This window comes from Homo sapiens, chromosome 2 (genome assembly GCF_000001405.40).
Source record: "Homo sapiens chromosome 2, GRCh38.p14 Primary Assembly".
Lineage (NCBI taxonomy): Eukaryota > Metazoa > Chordata > Mammalia > Primates > Hominidae > Homo > Homo sapiens.
Window position 1 is genome coordinate 134877297 of NC_000002.12, and position 23812 is coordinate 134901108.

General features: G+C 36.1%; 1 protein-coding gene and 1 long non-coding RNA gene across 10 annotated transcripts in view; one reads left to right on the forward strand and one right to left on the reverse strand.

Moving 5' to 3' along the window:
- ACMSD (aminocarboxymuconate semialdehyde decarboxylase) overlaps positions 1–23812 on the forward strand; it is a 63419-nt gene that overhangs the window by 38681 nt on the left and 926 nt on the right. For all 9 annotated transcript variants that reach the window (XM_011510592.3, XM_047443333.1, XM_017003325.2 and 6 more), the window contains one exon: positions 21045–21143. In XM_011510592.3, the coding sequence (XP_011508894.1) occupies positions 21045–21143 (99 nt within the window). The remainder of the gene's footprint in view (positions 1–21044; positions 21144–23812) is intronic.
- CCNT2-AS1 (CCNT2 antisense RNA 1) overlaps positions 1–23812 on the reverse strand; it is a 51974-nt gene that overhangs the window by 10664 nt on the left and 17498 nt on the right. Inside the window, exon 2 of the long non-coding RNA NR_036549.1 lies at positions 224–347. This is a non-coding gene — a long non-coding RNA (CCNT2 antisense RNA 1). The remainder of the gene's footprint in view (positions 1–223; positions 348–23812) is intronic.

The window sequence follows — 23812 nt, forward strand, 5'->3', positions numbered from 1 at the left end:
ATGCATGACTGTAATTACCCCAAAACTTAGTGGCTTAAAACAAGCCACATAAACAATAATAAACATTTATTATCTCTCATGGCCTCTATATGTTAGGAATTTAGAAATAGCTTAACTGACCCAAAATCTCTCAAGAGGTGAGACAGGCAAGGTGTCAGTCAGGGCTGTAGTTATCTAAAAGCTTGGCTGGGGCTAAAGGATTTACATTCAAGGTGGATTTTACCCATGAGTGGCATGTCAGTGCTTGGTTTTGGTGGGAGGCCTCAGTTCCTCTCCAGGTGCACCTCTTCACAGCTGCTTGAGTGTCCTCACAACATGGCTGCTGGATGCCCCCAAGAGTGAGTGATCTGAGAGAGAAATGGGGAGAGATGGTAATCAAGACAGGAGGGAGGGAGGGAAGAAGAGGGGGGGGAAAAGAGAAAAAGATAGAGAGAGATTGAACACACACCAGAGAGAAGCTATCCTTTTTATGACCTAGAGTCAGAAGTCATATAGTATTAATTCCATCACATTTTATTCATTAGAAGCACGTCATTTAATCTAGCTCACATTCAAGGGGAGTAGAATTAGATCCCACCTTTTGAAGGGAGGCTTATCAAAGGATTTGAAGGCATATTTTAAAACTACCTCATTCCACTCTCTGGCCACAAATTATTTATATTCCTCCTAAATGCAAAACACCCTCACCCCTACCAAGACTGCCCCAAAAGTCTCATCCATTTATAGCATCACTTTAAAGTCTAGGATTTTGTTGCTTAGATGAACTGGTGTATGAGGCTCCTCATGTATACTTTCTCCAAATCTGAAGAACTGTGAACTGAACAGACAAGTTCCTTTGTTCCTCACACACTCAATATAAAATGGCGAGACAAGCATAGGATACTTGCTATCCTTTCCATTCCAAAAGGGGAAAACAAGAGCTTCAGAGGAGGTCACTAGCCACTAGCAAGTCTGAAATCCATCAGGCACATATTGGTAGTTCCTTTATTAGAACTCAAAGCATAGAAACCATTCAACAAAAACATTCTTTTCGTTTTGTTTTGTTTTTGAGACAGGGTTTTGCTCTGTCATCCTGGCTGGAGTGCAGCGGCACCATCTCAGCTCACTGCAACCTCCACTCCCCAGACTCAAGGGATCCTCCAGCCTCAGTCCCCTAAGTAGCTGGGATCACAGATGCATGCCACCACAGCTGGCTAATTTTTGTATATTTTGTAGAGACAGGGTTTTGCCATGTTGCCCAGGCTGGTCTCGACCTCCTGGACTCAAGTGATCCACCCACCTCAGCCTCCCAAAGTGCTGGGATTACAGGTGTGAGCCACTGTGCCAGGCCAATTCAACATAGCTGTTGCTTCTACATTCTCAGTCATCTTTCCTTTTCCATAAAAGCCTGTGTTTGTGGCTGAGCAGTTTGTACAGACTGCTTAATGCCTGTACATGTTTTATAGTCCAAAGGTTTACTTTCCTTTTTTATATCTGTTCCTTTCAGTCCAAGCTGGTGGTGCTTCTAATACAATTCCTTTAAAAACCAAATGAGTCTTTCATGAATCTTATTAAGTTTCACATCATTAGGCAAAAGACTTAGCCACAAATCTCTGAGAAAAGCCCTTCTCTACCTTTGGGTTTCTGCTAAGGTGGCTGAGAGACAACAGCCTTAAGCTTCTGAGAAGCCCTTTTTGTTTGACTGAATGGCTTTTTGAGGCACTTCCTAAATCTTTTGAGGTTATAACAAAGACATTATAGTCACATCTTGGCTTAATTTTTAGACTCTATTTTTCTGATTATGCCCTGGATTTAGTTTTTGCCAGAAATCCGTATCTTAACTTTAGCATCATTTGCTATAGGAGAGGCTGGAAATATTCAAACCCAACAATCCCCATAGTACCAGTCCATGGCTCAGGGGTTGGGGACCCCTGTTGTAGTTGACAGCATTGCTAAATTTTTGCCACCACCATAGCAAGGATCACCCTTCTTCTAGTTTCCAATCACATTTTCCCCATTCTCCTTTAAGCCTTTACTGCAACCTTCTCACAGGCCATTGGGCTTCTAATAAGAGTCTTTACAAGGACCTTTGGTCTTTTATTATTCTCAAAGTCCTTCCTACTTCCTCCTACTAATCAGTTCCAAAGCCACTCCCACATTTTCAGGTTTTTGTTATGGTAGCACCAAATTTCCAGGAACCAAACTCTGTATTCGTTACATGCTGCTGCATCACAAATTAACCTAAAACCCAGTGGTTTAAAACAAGAATGCATATTTACTATCTCATTCATTTTCTCTGGGTCAGGAATTCAGGAACCCTCTGGCTTGGCAATTCTGGCTCAGGGTTTCTCTTGAGGTTCAATAAGATGACTGCAGACCACCAATTTCTTCTTTCTTTCCTTCCTTGTTTTATTTTATTTACATGCTACTTACACAAACTTAACCCTAAACTCTCCACCAGTTTTGTAACTTTCCTCTCAGTACATTCAGACGCATAGACTAACACTAGTCCATTAATTCTGTGTTCTTAAAGAAATATCTTCAGGAGCCTTCTGATGCTCTAATTGGGACTGAGTTGCTATTTAAACCTGCTGCACATCTGTCATCCTGAAATCTCTCTTCATGAGGATATTCTCAATCTCTCTCATTGGATTCCTTGTTTGCTGAATCTCATGATTTTCCCATTTCTTGGTTTTACTCCTTCATCTTGGTGGACAACATCCTTCAATAACTTTCAGAGAAGGAAGTATGGAGGATGAACTTTTCAAAACCTTGTTTATCTAAAAATGTCTGTATTCATCCTTCGCAATGACCTAATTGTTTGGCTAGGTAACAATTCTAGCTTGGAAGTCGTTTCTTTCCCTCAGAATTTTAAAGTCATTGTTCCATTGTGTTCCAGCTTTTAGAGGTGCTGTTGGGTAATGCAATGACATCCTAATTTTTGAAATTTGTGTAAAACCTGCTTCTCTCTTCTCCTTACCACAACTTCAAAGAGTCTAAGGATTTCTTTTTGTCCTGAAATTTCACAATGATACTACTTGATATAGGTCTATTTTCACCCATTACCCTAGTCATTTGGTGGATCCTTTCATTCTGTAAATTTTCTTAAATTATGTGTTAATGATTTCCTTCCCTCTGCTTTTTCTCTCTAGAATTCCTATTGTTCTAAAGTAGAACCTATTTTTGTTTTCTGTCTTACATACCACCTCTTTGAACTTTCGTTTTACTTTCTGGGAGATTTTTTTCAACTTTATTTAAAAAGGCTTCTATTTAGTTGGTCTCTTAATTTCCAAAAGCTTATTATTTTTCTTGTTCTCTGAATTTTTTTTAATATCCTGTCCTTGTTGGGTGGATGCAATACCTTTTCTTATCTCTCTGAATATAGTAAGAATTTTAGGAAGTTTGATTATCCCTGCAAGTCTTCCTCCAGGTGGCTTTTTTGTCTGTTTTTTAAAGTCTCGGTCTTTCATATTAAATGCTTTCCTCATGTGTCTATACTTTTTGAGCATGTACAATGTTTTAGTGCCTGACTCTTGGAGTTGTTAGGGCAAGACAGAGGTAATAATTGCACAGCACTGTGAATGTGCTCTATGCCGATGAAGTGTACATTTTAAACAGTTAATTTTGTGTTATGTGAATTTCACCTCAATTTTTTTTAACGGGCCTGTTTCTGCAAGTTAGACTTTCCGCCACCCCAACCAAAATATCTATTCATATGTTATTCACTTTCTTTATTTATTTAGAGACAAAGTCTCACTCTGTCACCCAGGCTGGAGTGCAGTGGCATGATCTCAGCTCACCGCATCCTCTGCCTCCCGATTCAAGCAATTCTTGTGCCTCTCAGCCTCCTGAGTAGCTGGGATTACAGGCATGAGCCAGAACACCTGGCTAATTTTTGCATTTTTAGTAGAGACATGGTTTCGCCATGTTGGCCAGGCTGGTCTCAAACTCCTGACCTCAGGTGATCTGCCTGCCTCAGCCTCCCAAAGTTCCGGGATTACAGGCATGTGCCACTGCACCTGGCCCTTTTCTTTATTTTTAATGGAGAATCTCGAAATTCTTGTTCTGTAAAATAGAAAGTATTTTTATTTTGTAGTAAAAGAAACGGTTCACTTTTAGGAGCAACACTGTCAGTTTTTACAACAATAAGCAGAGATATGATCTTGTCTTGGGCATTTGATCTGTGAGTAAGAAGATGAACCTAAGCTGGACATCATTCAGGCCCAATGGATAAAACTTCACCATCCCCCTTCTGTACCTCTACATCTTTCATATTCAGGACTACTCTATTCAAGGGGTTCTGAAGGGCAAGGGTGATCCAAAAGCACTGAAAAGTGATTTATCATTAAAGAAAGATTTGAATATACCCACAGCTATTGTAGGCAGCAGACCATACCATACGTATTAGAAATATTTCCAACATGGCTTAAAACAAAGAATTTCTCAGGCTGCGCATAATCCCAACACTTTCGGAGGCCGAGATGGGAGGATCACTTGAGGTCAGGAGTTCAAGACCAGCCTGCCCAACATGGTGAAACCCTGTCTCTACTAAAAATACAAAAAAAAATTAGCTGGATTACGCCTGTAATCCCAGCACTTTGGGAGGCTGAGGTGGTTGGATCACTTGAGGTCAGGAGTTTGAGACCAACCTAGCCAACATGGTGAAACCCCATCTCTACTAAAAATACAGAAAGTAGCCAGGCGTGGTGACGGGCACCTGTAATCTCAGCTACTCGGGAGGCTGAGGCATGAGAATCACTTGAACCTGGGAGGTGGAGATTGCAGTGAGCCAAAATTGCACCACTGCGCTCCAGCCTGAGAGGTACAGTGAGACTTGGTCTCAAAACAAACAAAAAAAGGTGGGGGAGGGTACCTGCCTAATTCCCACCTAACTTGACATTTAAATTTGTTTGAATACTTAGGCTTCCAAGTATTTTGGTTACAAGATATTTTCCTGTGTACTGGAATCCTCAATAGAGTAAAAATACTTTTTTGAAGCCTGTAACCTTCCTTTCTGTCTTCTCAAGAAGTTGTGGTAAGCGAGAGAGTTCAAGTCCTGGCTCTACTACTAGTTAGGTGGTGACCAAATATCAAGTCACTTACCCTTCTCAGCCTCAGCTTCTACAACTCTAAAATGGGGATGATAACCAGGCAGAGTTGGTGTGACGAGTTAACATAATACTATGCCAAAGGACTGTATAAATGTCAAGAGATTTTCATTACCTACTCCAGCACTTTACAAATAGTAGGTGTTAAGTTAATGTTTGTTTAACTGAATTGTATAATGATCTTGGGAATATAAAGCTAATTTTACTTTGCATTGATTGAATTAAACCAGGCTCTTTCTCTGGGAAATTATGTCTCAGGGAACAAACTAAATCTCTGGTATGCTAGAATTTTTGGATTAAGTTATGTTATAACAGAGTATGCTGTATTTACTGCAAATGCTACTAATGAGATATGCTAATGGGAAGATAATTAAGTGTTCCTTTTCCAGAAGAAAAAATGAAACTTTCTCCCACAATTAGAACCATTTTGTAAGCCACATCTTTGTGTTTGCAGAACTCCCTAAAAATGTGAAAAAGTTCATGCATCCCAGCAGGTGAGAAGTTTATTTCTTTTCCCTGACAGGAATATTAATCACTATTATTATCAGCTCAGTAAGTCCTTGACCTCATAGGGAGATGTGTGCAGCTGCTGGCTTTGGAGAGGGAAATGTATGTTGGAGCAAAGTGTTGATATCCACTGCTTTACTGCCTAATAAGGAAAGCCAGCACCTGTCCAGAAGGTAGAATTCCAGGATTCCAGATGAGGCAGCCATGGTACCTAAAATGTCCATCATTAGAATTATTCCTTGGGGTTTAATACAGTCTTTAGAAATGCCCTACTAAAATGGAGATGTTGTCAAATGCTACATTAGCACAGATATCTTTAAAAACTGGTGCATGATTATGACGGATACCAAGGGAATAGGATCTGGGATCACAGACAAAAAAAAAACAGAAGAAATTTCAGCTTTTGGGAGGCCAAGATCAGATATGTTATTTGGGAACCTAAGATGTGAGGACAGCTTTGGGTATCCCAAGGAGCTAAGGTTAATGGAAATGGAATCAACAGTCATCCAAGGCCATATCATATGACTCCTTAACCCAGGATTCCTCATGTAATTCATTTAAAACATAATCAATTTGCAGTTATGAAATAACAGGTGATAGAACTAGCAATAGAAAAAGTCATTTTTTTAGAGACAAGGTTTCACTCTGTCGCCCAGGCTGGGGTACAATGGTGCGATCATAGCTCACTGCAGCCTTGAACTCCTGGACTCAAGTGATCCTCCCACCACAGCCTCCTGAGGAGCTGGGACACAGGTACCATGGCTGGCTAAATTTTTGATTTTGTAGAGACAAGGTCTCACCATGTTGCCCAGACTGGTCAACATAGGTTGCTTCTGGCTGAAAGTGATCCCCCCCACCTCAGCCTCCCAGAGTGCTACAATTACAGGTGTGAGTCACTACACCCAGCCAAAAAAGTATTTTAACCCAAGTATTTATTAGGCATCAATCAACAGGAGACTGGCATTACTCAATAGAGTATGTGACCTTCATCCTACAGGATCATATACTCTTGAAGAATCTCTTCCCTCCCATTTTTTCTTGCTACTATCTCTTCTCCCTCTGAACAAGAAACTCAATAAAAATTTCATTTCCAATTTTGTATGCCTATCGCTTTCTCTCTTGCGAAATTACTGACAAGTCAGAAATGGTCAAAGATTTACCAGAAGTTTCAATGAGATGTACAGACAGATAACAGGTATGAAAAATGAAAAATTCACAAGCCAAATACAAGTACATACAATTATCTACTTGTACATAATTACAAGTAGATAATTAACCTCCTACAGGGAGGAGTTGTGAACAATAGTTACTAAATAATAATTCAACATTGCCAAACTCTGAGTGTGATGTTCTGCAATGGGCATCCAAAATCAAGTTAGGAAGGAAAGCAGGGAAGTGTCTTAACCAGAAGGACAAATTGCAGAAGGGTGATTTTCATTTCTGCTTCAGAATTATTTGCTTTCTCCATATTAAAATGGAATATACCCCTTCTTAAAATATATTTATATCCAAGAAGGCCATAATACTGGAAATGGAAGAATTCCAGACTAGAAGGCAAAATTAATTTCTAGACTTCATTTTCATGTTAATGTAGTTGACAAATGTAGTGAAAGCAAGGGACTTTTAAATATTATGTTGTGTTTTGGAATTGTAAACAGCTTTAGCAAGAGGAGTTTAGAAATAAGGACAAATGAACTTCCAGTGAATACCAAGCAGACAATTCAGAATGAGATCAGCTGTTGCCACAGATGTAAGTAGACATAACTTTGGGACTTTAGGACTATTATCAGCAGGTGTATTTGTTTGGTTTCATACAGCAATGAGTACAGAAATCTAAAAATAAGACTTGTTAGTCTACCATGGCCTTCCTCTAAACTGTATTATATACTTTCCCATATTATTTCATATAAATGTATTTATAAAACCTAGGAAAATCTTTTTTGGGGGTAGAAATCAAAGTGTCATTTATCCTCAAATAGCTCAAATTTACAGTATTTAAAATATATTTAATATTTCAGGCCTAGGCCAGGCACAGTGGCTCAAGCCAGTAATCCTAGCACTTTGGGAGGTTGAGGTGGGTGGATCACTTGAGCTCAGGAGTTTGAGACCAGCCTGGCCAACATGGTGAAACCCTGTCTCTACGGAAAATTCAAAAATTAGCCAGGCATGGTGGTGCACACCTGTAGTCCCAGCTACTTGGGAGGATGAGGTGAGAGGATCACTTGAGCCTCGGAGGCAGAAGTTGCAGTGAGCGGAGATCATGCCACCGCACTCCAGCCTGGGTGATGGAGTGAGACTTTGTCTCAAAAAATATATACATATATATATTTATATATAATACATATGTAAATATATATTTATATATAATATATATATAAATATATATATTATATATTATATTTATATATATATTTAAATATATATATATAAATATATATGTAAATATATATTTATATATAATATATATTTACATATATATTATATATAATATATATGTAAATATATATATTTATATATAAAATATATATGTAAATATATATAATATATAAATATATATAAAACATATGTTAGATATGTGATTTTTTTTCAGGTCTAGTTAGTCAGACTTCATCTTTCATATATTCAAGCATGCATTCCTTCAACACACACACATTTGTTAAAGTAGCTGTCATATTGATTATGAACATGTATCAGAGTTTTATTCTAAACTTGTATCAAAATAAGAAACATGCTCAAAAGTCCAATTCAAAGAATCCTTCTTACAAACACATTTTATAGAGAAAAAAATCAGCAGATAAATTATTAAACTAGATTTTTTAAAGAAGGAAAATAATATCCAGTTAAGGATGACAGCCTCTTTGCCTTATTGGTTAAAGGTCTTAAACCAGTTTCAAGAGTAATAATCAGTCGAGTGGGTTTCCCGAGAGGGTCTTTTAAGCTCATTACTCTATTAGAAAATTGCTCAAGTATTTTATCAGGAAAAGAATTATTTCCCGAGGAAAAGCAGCTAGTCACATCAGACCACAAAGTTCTGCCCCCACAAAGGTTCGGGACCCCTTTATTTCTCACATTTATTGGGGGCTGCTTATGCCATGCTTTACCTTCTAGGCAATGGAAAACTATTGACAGGGTTTAAGCAGAGATATGCCATGATCAAATTTGTATTTTTAAAAGACCATTTTCTCCACTATTTAGTATTGACTGAAGTGGATGAGACTGGAATTCCAGGAATAGGATGGCCTTAACTTTTGAAAATCAGTGTAATTCACCATATTCATGAAATAAATAGTATGATCATTTTATAGATGAATAAAAAGTACTTGGCAAAATTCATTACCCATTCATTATTATTATTATTTTTTTTTTTTTTTTTTTTTTGGCAGAGTCTCGCTCTGCCGCCCAGGCTGACGTGCAGTGGCGCCATCTTGGCTCACTACAAGCTCCGCCTCCCGGGTTCACGCCATTCTCCTGCCTCAGCCTCTCGAGTAGCTGGGACTACAGGTGCCCGCCAACACGCCCGGCTAATTTTTTGTATTTTTAGTAGAGACGGCGTTTCACCGCGTTAGCCAGGATGATCTCGATCTCCTGACCTCGTGATCTGCCCGCCTCAGCCTCCCAAAAGTGCTGGGATTACAGGCGTGAGCCACTGCGCCCGGCCCATGATTTTTAATAAAACAAAACTCAGCAACTAAGAATAGAAAAGAACTTCCTCAATCTGATAGAGATTGTCATAAAAAAAATCATAGCTATCCCCATACATAATGGTGAAATATTAAACACCTCCCTAAGATGGGGAGAGAGGCAAACATGTCCACCCTCACGCCTTCCAATCAACAATGCACTGGCAATCCTACCCAGTACAAGAAAACAAGAAAAAGTAAAAAGGCATACATACAAAGAAGTAAATAGTCTCTTTGGCAGATGACATGACATAATTGTTTATGTAATAAATTTTTAAGGACCCTACAAAGCAGTTACTGGAACTAATAAGTGGCTTTAGCAAGATTGCAGGACATAACGGCAATATTTTAAAAATCAGTTGTATTTTTATATACTAGCAGCAAGCAATTATAAATTAAACTTTTAAACAATTCAATTTATAATAGTGTTTTAAAAAAATACTCAGAAATAAACTGAAATGATGTGTAAGACCTCTACACTGAAAACTATAAAATATTGCTAAGAGCAATTTTTAAAAATCTAAATAAATGGAAAGTTCTATCATGTTTATGGATCAGAGAACTCTACGATGTTAAGATATCAATTCTCCTCACATTGATCTATAGAGTCAATGTAATCCAAGCTAAATCTAAAAATCTAAAATGTATACAGATATACAAAGGACTAGAAGAGCCAAAATAATCTTGAAAAAGAAAAATAAGTTAAAAACTTGCATTAACTGACCTCAAGGGTTACTACAGAACAACAGCAATCAAGATAGTGTGATATTGGCATAAGGAAAGACAAATAGATTAATGGAATAAACTAAAGAATCCAGATATATATCCATTCTTTTTCTTTCTTTCTTTCTGAGACAGGGTCTCACTCTGTCACCCAGGATGGAGTGCAGTGGCACGATCTCGGCTCACTGCAACCTGTGCCTCCCAGGTTCAAGTGATTCTCCTGCCTCAGCCTCCCAAGTAGCTGGGATTACAGGCATGCACCACCATACCTGGCTAATTTTTGTATTTTGGGTAGAGATGGGGTTTCACCATGTTGCCCAGGCTGGTCTTGAATTCCTGGCTTCAAGTTATCCTCCCACCTTGGCCTCCCAAAGTGCTGGGATTAGTCATGAGCTGCCGTGTGCAGCCCAGAAATATATTCATCCTTATACGGTCAATTAATTCTTGACAGAGACACGAAAGCAATTACATGGGGAAAGGAAAGCCTTTTCACAAATGGTGCTGAAGCAAGAATCCATCATATGGGGGGGAAATGAACCCTGACCCTATCTCATACCAGCCATACACAAAACTTAATTTGAGCAAGATTATACAACTAAACAAAAAAGCTAAAACAGTAAAGCTTCAAGAAGAAAATATAGAAGAATATCTCTTCAACCTGGAAGCAGGCAAAAATTTCTTGGACAAGATGCAGAAAGCAATAAAACCATAAAGAAGAATTTGACAAATTAGACTTCATCACATTAAACACTTTAGCTCATCCTAAGACAACATTAGCAACATGAATAAGTAAGCCACAGAATGATAGGAAATGTTCATAAAGCATATATATGACAAAGGACTTATATCCAAAATTTATAAAGAACTACTAAAACTCATGATGAAAAGTCCAACAATCCTATTTAAAAGTGGGCAAAAGGCTTAAATGGCCACTCCCAAAAAGAAGGTAACAATTAGCCAATAAACATATTTAAAGGTGCTCAACATCATTAGTTCATCAGAAAAATGCAATTTAAACTATGATGAGAAAACACTGCACATCCACTGAATAGCCAAAAACAAAAAAGACTGAGAACTCAACTATGAGCAAGGATGTAAAACAACCAGAATTTTCACACATTGTTAGTAGAATATACTCCTATCCTATCACCCAACAGTTTTACTCCTAGGTATTTACCTAAGAGAACTGAAAATACATATCCACACACAAAAATACAGCTTGTATAAAAAAGTTCTTGGCAGCTTTATTCCAAATAGCCAAAAACTGGAAAAAGTGTTAAATGTCCATCCACAGAAGCATGGATAAACAAATTACCATATATCTGACAAAATGGAATACTACTCAGCAAAAAACAACAACAAAACAGAAAAGAAAAAAATAATTTGCTGATACACACTACAACATAGATAACTCTTACAAAAGGCTGAATGAATGAAGCTGGATCCCAGAGAGTGTATACTGTATGACTCCATTCATATGAAGTTCTTGAAGAGGCAAAACTAGTCTACGGTGAAAAAAAAAGACAAGTTATTACCTTTAGTGGGAGAACTGAGAGGAGAGAATGACCAAGAAGGAGCATGAGGGAGCTTTGTGGGGTGATGAAAATGTGCTGTATTTTGATAGGGATGTGGGCAATGCCAGTGTATTCTTTGTCAAAAATCAGCAAATTCATCACTCAAGAATTTGTGTTTTACTCTATGTAACTATTACTTTTAAAAAAGACATTGAATGCTAGCTAGTAGATTTGCTTTTTGCAGTGGTGTGGGTTAACAATTCTGAAAATACTTCATGTGCATTCTAGGCTCATGCAAATGAAGAAACAACATGAGTAAAATGGCAGGTGTCTCACTGTTGGATAAGGTAATTAGAAATCTGAAGAGTAGGAAGAAGATGAGAAGGTACCCTGCAGTGTTTGGATTGGAAATGGATATATTGGTATAATACATGGTTTTTAATATAGAAAGATATGGAAATATAGATATGTGTGTGTGAGGCAGGTATTTCCACATCAGTAGCAGTTATCACTTACAGCGCCCAGATCTTGGTTTCTAGTTACCATTTTCCATCAAAGGAAGCTAGTCTGCTTGGAGAAAAGGCTGTTTCCAAGACAGAGAAAGTATAAAGTGAGCTAGAACATTTTGTACCTGAAAGTAAGGAAGTACGGTCAGCCCTCTGTATTCACAGGTTCCACATCCACAGATTCAACCAACTGAATTGTCCAACAGGTCAAAAATAGTTTTAAAGATAAAATAAAATAACAGAATAACAAATACAAATATAAAGAATAATACAGTATAACAATTGTTTACATAGCAACATTGTATTAGGTAATATAAGTAAAGGATGATTTAAAGTATGCAGGAAGATGTGCATAGGTTATATGCAAATACTACATCATTTTATATATAGGATTTGAGCATCTGAAGACTTTGGTCTTGAGGGTAACTGTACTCAAAGAATGGTGGGGAAATAGCATAAGGATACAGGAGTCAACCTGAAGAGGTGATTCACATTGAGCAAACCTGAGATGATCTGGCTATCAAAATAAACAGTGATAATAATGAATTATAACCAATTGGATAAAATTAAGTCCATGAGTCCAAAATGATATAAATAAAAAGAATGAATATATTAATAAATAGGTGAACATATATATTTAATTTACATAAGTTAATGTGTTTGTATATATGAAGAAATCTCTTCTTTATAATGAATATAGAAATAACAATAGTTAGAAAATTATTACTGAATGATAATACCAGTGGATGAAAGTTGGAAAAGGACAAGATATTTAAATGATCTCAAAGTGGCTCCCCACAAATTGCTTATTAATCATGAAGAGAAAAAAATGGTGATTTCACATTAGAGAAACCCAGCAAACACCAACTTAACTAAATAATCAAAATTACCAATACTAAGACAAACCGACATGATATGCCCTGATATAATGCACTGAATAAGACTCAATATCACTTCGGTAGTATTCCTATCCCAAATGCGTAATTTGTACACAATCACGAGGAAACATCAGACAAACACAAACTGAGGACATTCTATAAAATAACTAATCTACAATCTTCAAAAATATCCCAGATGAAGAGTGACAAAAAAGGCCAACTGATCCAAATTAAGGGAAACTTCAGAGACATAACAACTAAATTTAATATGTGATCATCAATTAGATCTTCGACTAAGAAAAATAATTAGCTATAAATCACATTATGGGGGCAATTGACAAAATTTGAATATGAACTATGGATAACGAAATAACACTGTTATCAATGTTAAATTTCCTGATTTTGAGAAGTATACTGTGGTCATATAAAAAGTATCCCTTTTTTTAGGAAATAAACACTAATTTATTTAGGAGTAAGGAGCCATGACATCTCCAACTGACATATAGCTCAAAGAAGTGTGTATATATACATAAATATCTATGAGAAAATGATAAAGCAAAGATGGCAAAGTATAAACAATTGTTAAATCTGGGTGAAGATTACATGGAAGGTTCCTGAATTTTCTTGCAACATTTCTGTCAGTTTGAAATTCTGCCAAAATAAAAAAAAATTCCACCACATTCATTAATCAGTTAGTGAATAAAAAATAGGAGTTCAGACTAGTCAGGAAACCATAACATATCTGTATAACTATTCATGTTCTTTGCTCAATTTTTAATGGGGTTATTTGTGTGGTGTTTTTTGCTGAGTTCTTTGAGCTCCTTATAAATTATAGATATTAATACCCTGTGTCAGGTATACGGTTTTCAAATATTTTCTCCCATACTGCAGGTTGTCTTTTCACTCTGGTAATTATTTCTTTTGCTGTGCAGAAGCTATTTAGTGAATTAAGTTCCATTTGTCTATTTTTGTTTTTGTTGCTTGTGCTTTTGAGGTCTTAGTCATGAATTATTTGCCTAGACCAACGCCCAGGAGAGTTTTCCCTAAGTTTTCTCCTAGTATTTTTATATTTTCAGGTGTTGCATTTAAATTTTTAACCCATCTTCAGTTGATTTTTATATATGGTAAGAGATAGGGGTCCGAGTTCATTCTTTTGTATGTGGCAATCCAATTTTCTCATTTATTGAAAAAGGTGTCCTTTCCCCAGTGTATGTTTTTGTCAACTTTGTCAAAGCTCATGAATAGACACACTTCAAAAGAAGACATACAAATGGCCAACAAATATGTGAAAAAATGTTTAATATCACTGATCATCTGAGAAATGCAAATTAAAACTACAATGAGATATCATCACATGCCAATCTGAATGGCTATTATTAAAAAGTCAAAAATAACATATTGGTGAGGAAATGCAAAGAAAATGCTTATACACTGTTGGTGGGAATGTAAATTAGTACAACCTTTATGGAAAACAGTATTGAAATTTCACAAAGAACTAAAAATAGAACTACAATTCAATTCAGAATCCCACTACTGGGCATCTACCCAAAGGAAAAGAAATCATAATAGCAAAAAGATACCTACACTTGTATGTTTATAACAGCACTATCACAATAGCAAAGAAATGGAATTAATCTAAGTGTCCATCAGTAAATGACTGGATAAAGAAACTGTCATATATATGCACAATGGAATAATATTCAGCCATAAAAAGTATGAAATCATGTCTTTTGTAGCAACATGGATGGAACTGGAGGCTATTATCTTAAGTGAAATAACTCAGAAACAGAAAGTCAAATACCACATGTTCTTACTTACAAGTGGGAGCTAAATAATGTGTACACACAGACATGAAGTATGGAAAAATAGATACTGGGGACTTGGAAGGGTGGGAGGGTGGATGGAGGTGAGGATGAGAAATTACTTACTGAGTGCTATGTACATCATTCAGGTGATGGTTACACTAAAAGCCCAGACTTCACCATTATGCAATATCTCCATATAACAAAACTGCACTTGTACCCCTTACATGTATTTTTTTTTTAAAAAATCGGGTATAACTGGAAAACAGTGTAACTCATTTAGGGCTCCAGCAGAAAATAAGATGACATACATGAATTGGGAAAACTAAACTAGTAAAGGGAAATTAATAAAGGGATTATTGACAAAGTTGTGAAAAGCTCCATTACTATTCCAGGCCAAAACTTGAAGCTAGAGAGGCTCTGTAAAAAGGGCCTGTGCTGAAGTCTTAGGTTTCTATTGCTGTGGAAAAAATAAATAAATAAATAAATAAATAAATAAATAAATAAATCCCTGTGGACAGGAGCTGAGACTTCTAGTTGGAGGCTAGATGACTCCATGGAAGGCGCTAGGTAATTAAGTACTTTCCTTTCATTCTACAATCTCCTGCCTGTGTTGCTCATTAACTAAATCCATCTGGAAGCCTAGGGTCAAGGGAGTCCATTGTATACTTCATACAAGTCAGTCTCCAGGGGACAAGTAGGAGTGAAGAAGGATGGAAAGTTGATCTGGAAGAGCAAGCAGCAGATATCCAGAATGAAGGTGGATCAAGGTGGGGGAGAGGCCAAGAGAGCAAAAGCAAGAATGAGAGTGACAGAATAGAAATGAACATGATGTTGAGTAAATACTTAGATGACAACTTCAATATTAGCATAACATGCTGAGTTTTAATTGCCTGTGAAGCAGCCAAGTGTGGCTGTCCAGCAGGCAGTCACATACCAGAGCTTGAAGCTTAGGATGAGACTGACTGCCCAAGCAGCACAAATAGAGTGACAATGACAGAGAAGAAGTAAGTAGTTAACACTTAGATTTGCATTTTTCACCACCCATTTACTTTTGATTGAATGCATTTGATTTTTTCTTTATCACTCACTGAAACTGCATTTAATAAAGCTGCCAAATCCAACAGACACTATCCAGTCCTTATCTTTGTCTTCCTCTTGTCTCTTGTGAATCATTACTTATTAAATACCTTTTCTTCCAATATATCACACTGCATTTTTTTTTTTTTTTTTTGAGACAGGGCCTCGCTCTTTCACTCAGGCTGGATAATCATAGCTCACTGCAGCCTCCATCTCCCAGGCTCATGCAATCCTTCCACCTCAGCCTCCCAAGTAGCTAGGACTACAGGTGTGTGCCACCACACCAAGCTAATTTGTTTTATTAAGGTCTCACTATGTTGCCAAGGCTGGTCTTGAACTCCTGAGCTCAAGTGATCCTCCTGCCTCGCCCTCCTAAAGTGCTGAGATTACAGGTTTGAACCACTGTGCTGGCTACATATTTTTTTAGATAGTACTTCTTTCTAGTTCTCTTTCCACCTCCCTGTCTCTCTCTGCCTCTTTTGTAGGCATTTTCCCCCTGTCCTCCATTTCTGCAATCACTCCACCCACCATGTTGATGATTCCTATGATTCTATCCTTAGCCCTCCTCATAAACCACGGAGGCCAGAAGGCAGTGGAAGACAAATTTAAAGTACTAAAAGAAAGAAGAAAAAATACTGTAACCCTGTAATGTGAGAACTCTATTTCAAGCAAAACTATCCTTTAAGAATGAAGGAGAAATTAAGACATTTCTAGATGAAACAAACTGAGCTAATTCATCATTAGTAGACCTGCCATACAAGAAATGCCAAAGGGAGTTCTTTAGGCTAAAATGGAAGGACACTAGACAGAAGAAGTCACAAGGAAAATTAGAAAACATTAGACATGAATAGAATACAAAAACACAACATTCTAAAACTTATGGATGCAGCTAGAAGTAGTACTTAGTGAAAAATTTATAGCTGTAAATGCCTATATTAAAAAAGAAGAAAGACCTTAATTCGGTGGCCTAGGACTTGGCCTTGAGAGCTAGAAAATGCAGAGTAAACTAAATCCCAAGCAAGCAGAAAAATATATATAAATATTAGAGCAGATATAAAAGAAATAGATTATAGAAAAACAATAGGGAAAATCAGTGAAACCAAAATTTGGTTCTTTGAAAAAATCAACAAAATCGGCAAACCTTTAGCTAGACTGACCAACAAAAATAAAGAAAAAAGATTCAAATTACTAATACTAAAATCACAAATGAAATAGGACGGCAGTACTACAGAACTTACAGAAATAAAAAGAATTATAAGTAAAAATTTGAGCAACTATATGACAACAAATGAAATAACCTAAATGATTTATGAAATTCCTAGAAAGACTAACAAAACTGGCTGAAGAAGAAATAGAAAGTTCAAACAGGTCTATATTAAGATACTGAATTAATAATTTTCAATCTTCCCACAAAGAAAAGCTGATGACCAGATGTCTTCGCTGGTGAATTCTATGAAAAATGTAAAAAAGAATTAAAACAAATTCTTCACCAATGCTTCAAAAAATATAAAAGAGCTCAATAAACAAGGAGTGGAAGGGAACATCCTCAACCTAATAAAAAGCATCATGAAAAACCCACAACTAACATCACACTTAATAGTGAAAGACTGAAAGGCTCTATTCTCATCACTTCTATTCAACATTGTACTGGAGGCTCTAGTCAAGGCAATTAGGCAAGAAAAACAAAGAAAAAGCATCTAGATTGGAAGAGAAGGAAAAAAATTTTCTCTACTTGCAATTGAGACGGCTTTGTATCTAGAAAATCCTAAAGAATCCACAAAGAAACTATTAGGGCTAATAGATTCAGCAAGCTTAGAGAGTACAAGATAAATAAAAAATTAATTGTATTTCTATTTGTTAGCAATGAATAATCCATAAATGAAATTGAGGACACAATTCCATTTATAATAGCATCAGCAAGAAAAACATTTGTGAAAAATATAGCCAAAAAAGGCACAAAATATATACCCTGCTGTAATCCAAGCACTTTGGCAGGCCAAGGCGGGTGGATCATAAGGTCAGGAGATCAAGACCATCCTGGCTAACACAGTGAAACCACATCCCTACTAAAAATACAAAAAAATTAGCCGAGTGTGGTGGCATGCACCTGTAATCCCAGCTACTAGGGAGGCTAAGGTAGGAGAATAGCTTACCAGGAGGTGGAGGTTGCAGTGAGCTGAGACTGTGCCACTGCACTCCAGCCTGGGCAACAGAGTGAGACTGCATCTCAAAAAAGAAAAAAAATATATATATGTTATATATATAATATATATATAACATATATAATATATATATATGTTACAAAACATTGTTGAAGAAAATTAAAGAAGACCTAAATGAAAAGACATTCCATGTTCATTGATTCAAAAACTTAATGTTGCTAACTGGCAATACCCCCCAAATTGATCTACAGATCCAATGCAATTGCTATCAAAATTCCAGATGTCTTTTTTTTTTGGCAAAAATTGATAAGCTGATCCAAAAATTCATATGAAAACGCAAGGGGGCCAGGTGCAGTGGCTCACACCTGTAATCCCAGCACTTTGGGAGGCCAAGGTGGGTGGATCACCTGAGATCAGGAGTTTGAGACCAGCCTGGCCAACATGGCAAAACCCTGTCTCTACTAAAAATACAAAAATTAGCTGGGTGTGATGGCGTGTGCCTGTAATTTCAGCTACTTGGGAGGCTGAGGCAGGAGAATTGCCTGAATCCGGGAGGCAGAGGTTGCAGTTAGCCAGGATCGCACCATTACACTTCAGCCTGGGTGACAAGAGTGAAACTCCGTCTCAAAAAAGAAAATGCAAGGGATCCAGAATAGCCAAACAATCTAGAAAAAACAAAATTGGCACAGTCACATTCCCAACTTCAAAACTTTCTACACAACTACAGTAATCAAGACTCTATGGGACTAGCCTAAAGACAGACATAAAGATCAACTGACTTTCAACAAGGGTGCCAATACAATTCAGTGTGATAAAGAATAGTCTTTTCAACATATGATAGTGAGATAAGAGTAGATATCCACATGTAAAAAAAATAAATAAAGTTGGACTCCTTCTTTACACCATGCAAATTAACTCAAAATGGATCAAAGACTTAAATTGAAGAACTAAAACCACAAACTCTTAGAAGAAACCATAGGTGTAAATCTTTGTGACTTTGGGTTAGGCAATAGTTTCTTTGCTATGGCACCAAAAGTACAAGCATCCAAAGAAAATAATAGATGAAGAAGACTTCATCAAAATTTAAAACTTTTGTGCTTCAAAAGACAATACCAAGGAAGTAAAAAAGACAACTCACCGAATGGAGAAAATATTTGCAAATCATGTATCTATAAGGCTCTAGTATTCAGAACACACAAAGATCTCTTATAGCTCAATGATAAAAAGATAACAAAATGGACATGAATGTACACAAGGGATCTTAGTAGACATTTCTCCAAGGAAGAGATACAAATAGCCAATAAGCACATGAAAAGATGTTCAACATAATTACTTATTAGAGAAATACAAATAAAAACTACAGTGAGATACCACCTCATACCTACTGAGATGGCCATAATCAAAAAGATGAATAACCAATGTTGGCGAGGATCTGGAGAAACTGGAACCCTCATACATGCTGGTGGGAATGTAGAAAGCTGCAGCCATGGTAGAAAATAGTTTCTCAAAATGTTAAACATGGACTCACCATATGCGCCAGCACTTCCACTCTTAGGTACGTATTGATTCAAGCAATAACATGGGTGAACCTTGAAAACATTAAACTAAATGAAAGAAGGCTACATATTATGTGATTCCATTTATGTGAAATGTACCAACCAGGCAATTCTGGAGACACAGAGGGTAAACTAGTGTTTTCCAAGGGCTGGAGGGAGAAAAGAATGGGGAGTCACTGCTAATGGGTACAGGGTTTATTTTGGAGGTGACAAAAATCTGTGGTTATATAAGATGAAAAAAATTTTTTTAAACATTCTATAATTAGTGGAAATGATTACACAAACTTATGAATATACTAAAACCCATTGAATTATACACTTTAAAGGGGGTGAATTTTATGGTATGTGAATTATATCTCAAAAAAAAAAGAAAAGGGGATATTCTGACCCCCAAGCCCTAGTCCTACTCCATGGAGGAAATTAATGTTATTTGTTTCTTAGATACCATTCCTGAAATAGACTGTATATATACAAACATATATTTGTGGGTCTATAGGTACCTTATTGAAAACAGAAATCAAAGCATAGCAGACACATTGTTCTAGACTCTTTATTTCTCTTTATAACTTCAAGATCATTCTTCTTTACACTGTAACTTGGAGATTATTCCATTTCAGCATATGTAAGTATTCTTTATTCTTTTCTATTTGGAGATATTCTGTAATTTAATTGGCCAGTCTTTTGCTGTTCCAAATAATGTTGCAATTTATTTCTTTGTATATCTTTCCAGCACAAGTGTATGAGTGGAATACATTTTGAGAAGTAAAATTTCTGGTTTGAATTTTTATTTTATTTTACTTTGATAAATTGCCATTATTGACATAATATCTTTCTCACTTGATTATGAGTTCCTTCAGAAAAGGAACCATGTCTGTTTTGTTGACAAGGGTACATCTAAATTCTAGCACATTGTCTGACACAGTGCTTAATATATTTGTAGATTGACAAGCCTACGTATTTTATTGTATAAAGTGTCAAATGGAAATTCAAAGCTATACTGTTCAAAAACTTATGATCCAGTTTATAGGAATTGTTTATAGGAACTGATCCAGAGATAGGGGATTTTCTTTTTCTATTTTTTGTTTTTGTTTTTGTTTTTTTTTTTTTACTTTTTATCGAGTTATTTGTTTTTTATGTTTCCTTTCCTACTCTGTTAATAGTATGTTTTGAAAAACTGTGGAATCAATTGCAATGTATCATTCTAAGAAAGACAGAATCCCTTAATTTCATCTGAATATATATATTTTAGTAAATAAATATCAATTTCTTATATTTCAGTATTCTATATTTCAGTTATTTAAAAAGAGAGAGAATGGGGTTGATTTGCAACAAAGAGACCTAATAGTGACACCTGCTGGAAAAAAAAAGTCAGAATAAAATTTGAACCATTAAATCTTTTTAAAATTTTAGACAAGTTTTATGTTTCTATTAATCAGGAAAAAATGTGTTATTTTTATGACAGGAATGTTTGTAATAAGTAAACAATTGTTTACAGGAGGCTCTTTCATGTTTTACAAAACAACAGAGAAATATATATTTTGTTTTTTAGGATAAAGTCATTTTGGGAACCGATTACCCCTTTCCACTAGGTGAGCTGGAACCTGGGAAACTAATAGAGTCCATGGAAGAATTTGATGAAGAAACAAAGGTATAATGTCTTTTACTTCACGGCTTTCTTACTGACTTTTCCTGCTCTAATTGGGTTTGGTTTCAGAGCACTTTGATATATAAAAACAAAGAACAGAGGAACCATTACACTGAATTCCCTAAAACTATTACTCTATCTCCATAAATAGCTAAACTATTAAAGGACAAAAAAAATGACAAAGCTGAAAGTCAGCCTAGTACAACTAAATTCATAAACCCAAGAAAGAAAGTTGTATAGAAGGATATGACAATAAAATATGCCTGCATGTTAGATAGATCATAGGAAAAATGTCTAAATTTTTTCTATATTACTTCTGTTACAAATCTACCAATCTCAAAAGTTGTAATAACTCTAGTTATTTAGATGATGAAACTAAAGTCTTGATTAAAAGGATCCAAGGAATCAGATCCTTTAAGTAACTAGACTTTATTTTTTTTCCCGGCGTTTGACTTTTAAGGCAGGTAAATGATACTAATATGTGCTATAATGCTACCATTACCTAGTCTACCCCTTAGACTCCTAAACCAAGATGAGTTTAAAATGAGATGCAGTGTCTTCAGTTTCCCTCTCCTTTGCCACTCCTTCCACACCCCCATCCTCCAAAAAAATAAGTTCTTCCTAAGACCTTCACTGCCCATCACTCCCAGGAGTCAGGGATGGCCAAAAATAACAATATGAGAATATATAAACTCTTAATAAATCTTACAAAACTTTTAGTTGTAATCCTTTTGCATAATTCTTGGCTTTCTTCTAAACTAGAATCCAAAAGTTACCTTGAACTCTCCCTGCCTTAACTATTAAAGATATTGTTCATCAAATCTTCTCAATAGGCTTAAAGTACATTAACAGATGCCAAGAAAAATTCATTCTTCAGTATACTAGTTACAAGTTATTAACTGGGAAACCTTAGACTATTTTATACACAAAGTGTCCCTTTTGGCACTAAAAGTCTTGAACTGTTAAATATTACCTACTAAATATTGTTAAATATTTACCCACTTCCTTCCTAAAGTAGGAAGCTGTCATAAAGGCATTTTTTATCTTTTTTTTTAAACAACAAAGGTTGAAAATGAAAAACTTTCTATTAACCAAAATTAAACAGAAACCAGATGACCCACATATCCTGATTAAAAACTTAATGGAATAATAGTAATTATTATTACATGCCTTTTATTGTTTATTCTTATGTGCTTATCACTTTCAAGTTTTTTCTGTAATCTTGCATAAAGGCTTTATACTAACACAAATTCACAATGATATTCTGTACAAGGGTACTCATTGTAACGCTGTAATACTGAAAACAATCTTTAGGGGAATAGTTAAATAAATCATAATATATCCACACAATGGAAATTATGCCACCATAAATAAATTAGAAATCAATTTCCAAGATACATTAAATTTTAAAAAGCAAGGTATAAAACAATTTGTATAGTATACTTCCATTTGTAGATCCAATACCTCTTTTGTGAAAAAGAATCTTTATATGCCTGAATATAAGTATTTGCTTATGGAGTATAAACATAAAATATCTCTGGAACATAAACAAGAAACTGATCAAACTCTGGGAAGAAAAAGGCACTAGGAATGAAGTATCTATTTTAGACATTTTGAATTTTGAACCATGCGAAGGTAAATACCACTAAAGAAATTTAAAATAAAATAAATAAATCCATTTGATAAGTACATTGGAAGGTATAGCAGTCCCCCCTTATCCTCAGTTTTGCCTTCTACAGTTTCTCTTACCCCAGTCAACCACAGTCCAAAAATATTAAATGGAAAATTCCAGAAATAATTCATAAGTTTTAAATTACATGCCATTCTGAGTAGCATGGTGTAAGCTTACACTGTCCTGCTCTCTCCAGCCCAAGATGTGAATCATCCCTTTGCCCAGGGTCTCCATGCTGTATCCACTCCCTCCCCATTAGTCACTTAGTATCATCTTGGTGATCAGATGGACTGTCGCCATATTGCCATGCTTGTGCTCAACTCACCTTATTTTACTTAATAATGGCCCCAAAGCACAAGAGTAGTAATGCTGGCAATTCAGATATGCCCAAGAGAAGCTGTAAAGTGCTTCCTTTAAGTGAAAAGGTGAAAGTTCTCAACTTAATAAGGAAAGAAAGAAAAATTATATGTTGAGGTTGCTAAGATCTTACTTTGTAAGAATGCATCTTCTATCTGTGTAACTGTGAAGAAAGGAAAAGTAATTTGTGCACAGTATATATAGGATTCTATATAGCATCCACAGAGGGTCTTGGAATGTATCCTTCATAGATAAGGGGGGACTGCTGTATATAGGCAGATGCATTCTACCATGAAGATGTGGAGAAAGAAAACAAGACTTGGGAGTTGAGTGACTTGCCAAAGGCAATATAACTGGTGGGTTATAGTGTATGGATGCGATCCCAAATCCCTTGACTCCAGGATCAGATCTCCATCCAACACTCTGAAGGGTACCTCCCTCAAAGGATACATGGTACTAAGCTATCTTAAAAGGTAAAGTACATGGTTCCTCCTAGCAGCAATAGTCACTTCTGAAATCTTCCTCTAGAGGAGGATGGCCTAAGTATGTATTGGGGAAGAACCCTGAGTAAGAGGTCCTGCCTCAAATCACCCACTTTTCAAGGCTGTGTAAGAACCCTGAAGTGGTCATAATATAGAAGGAC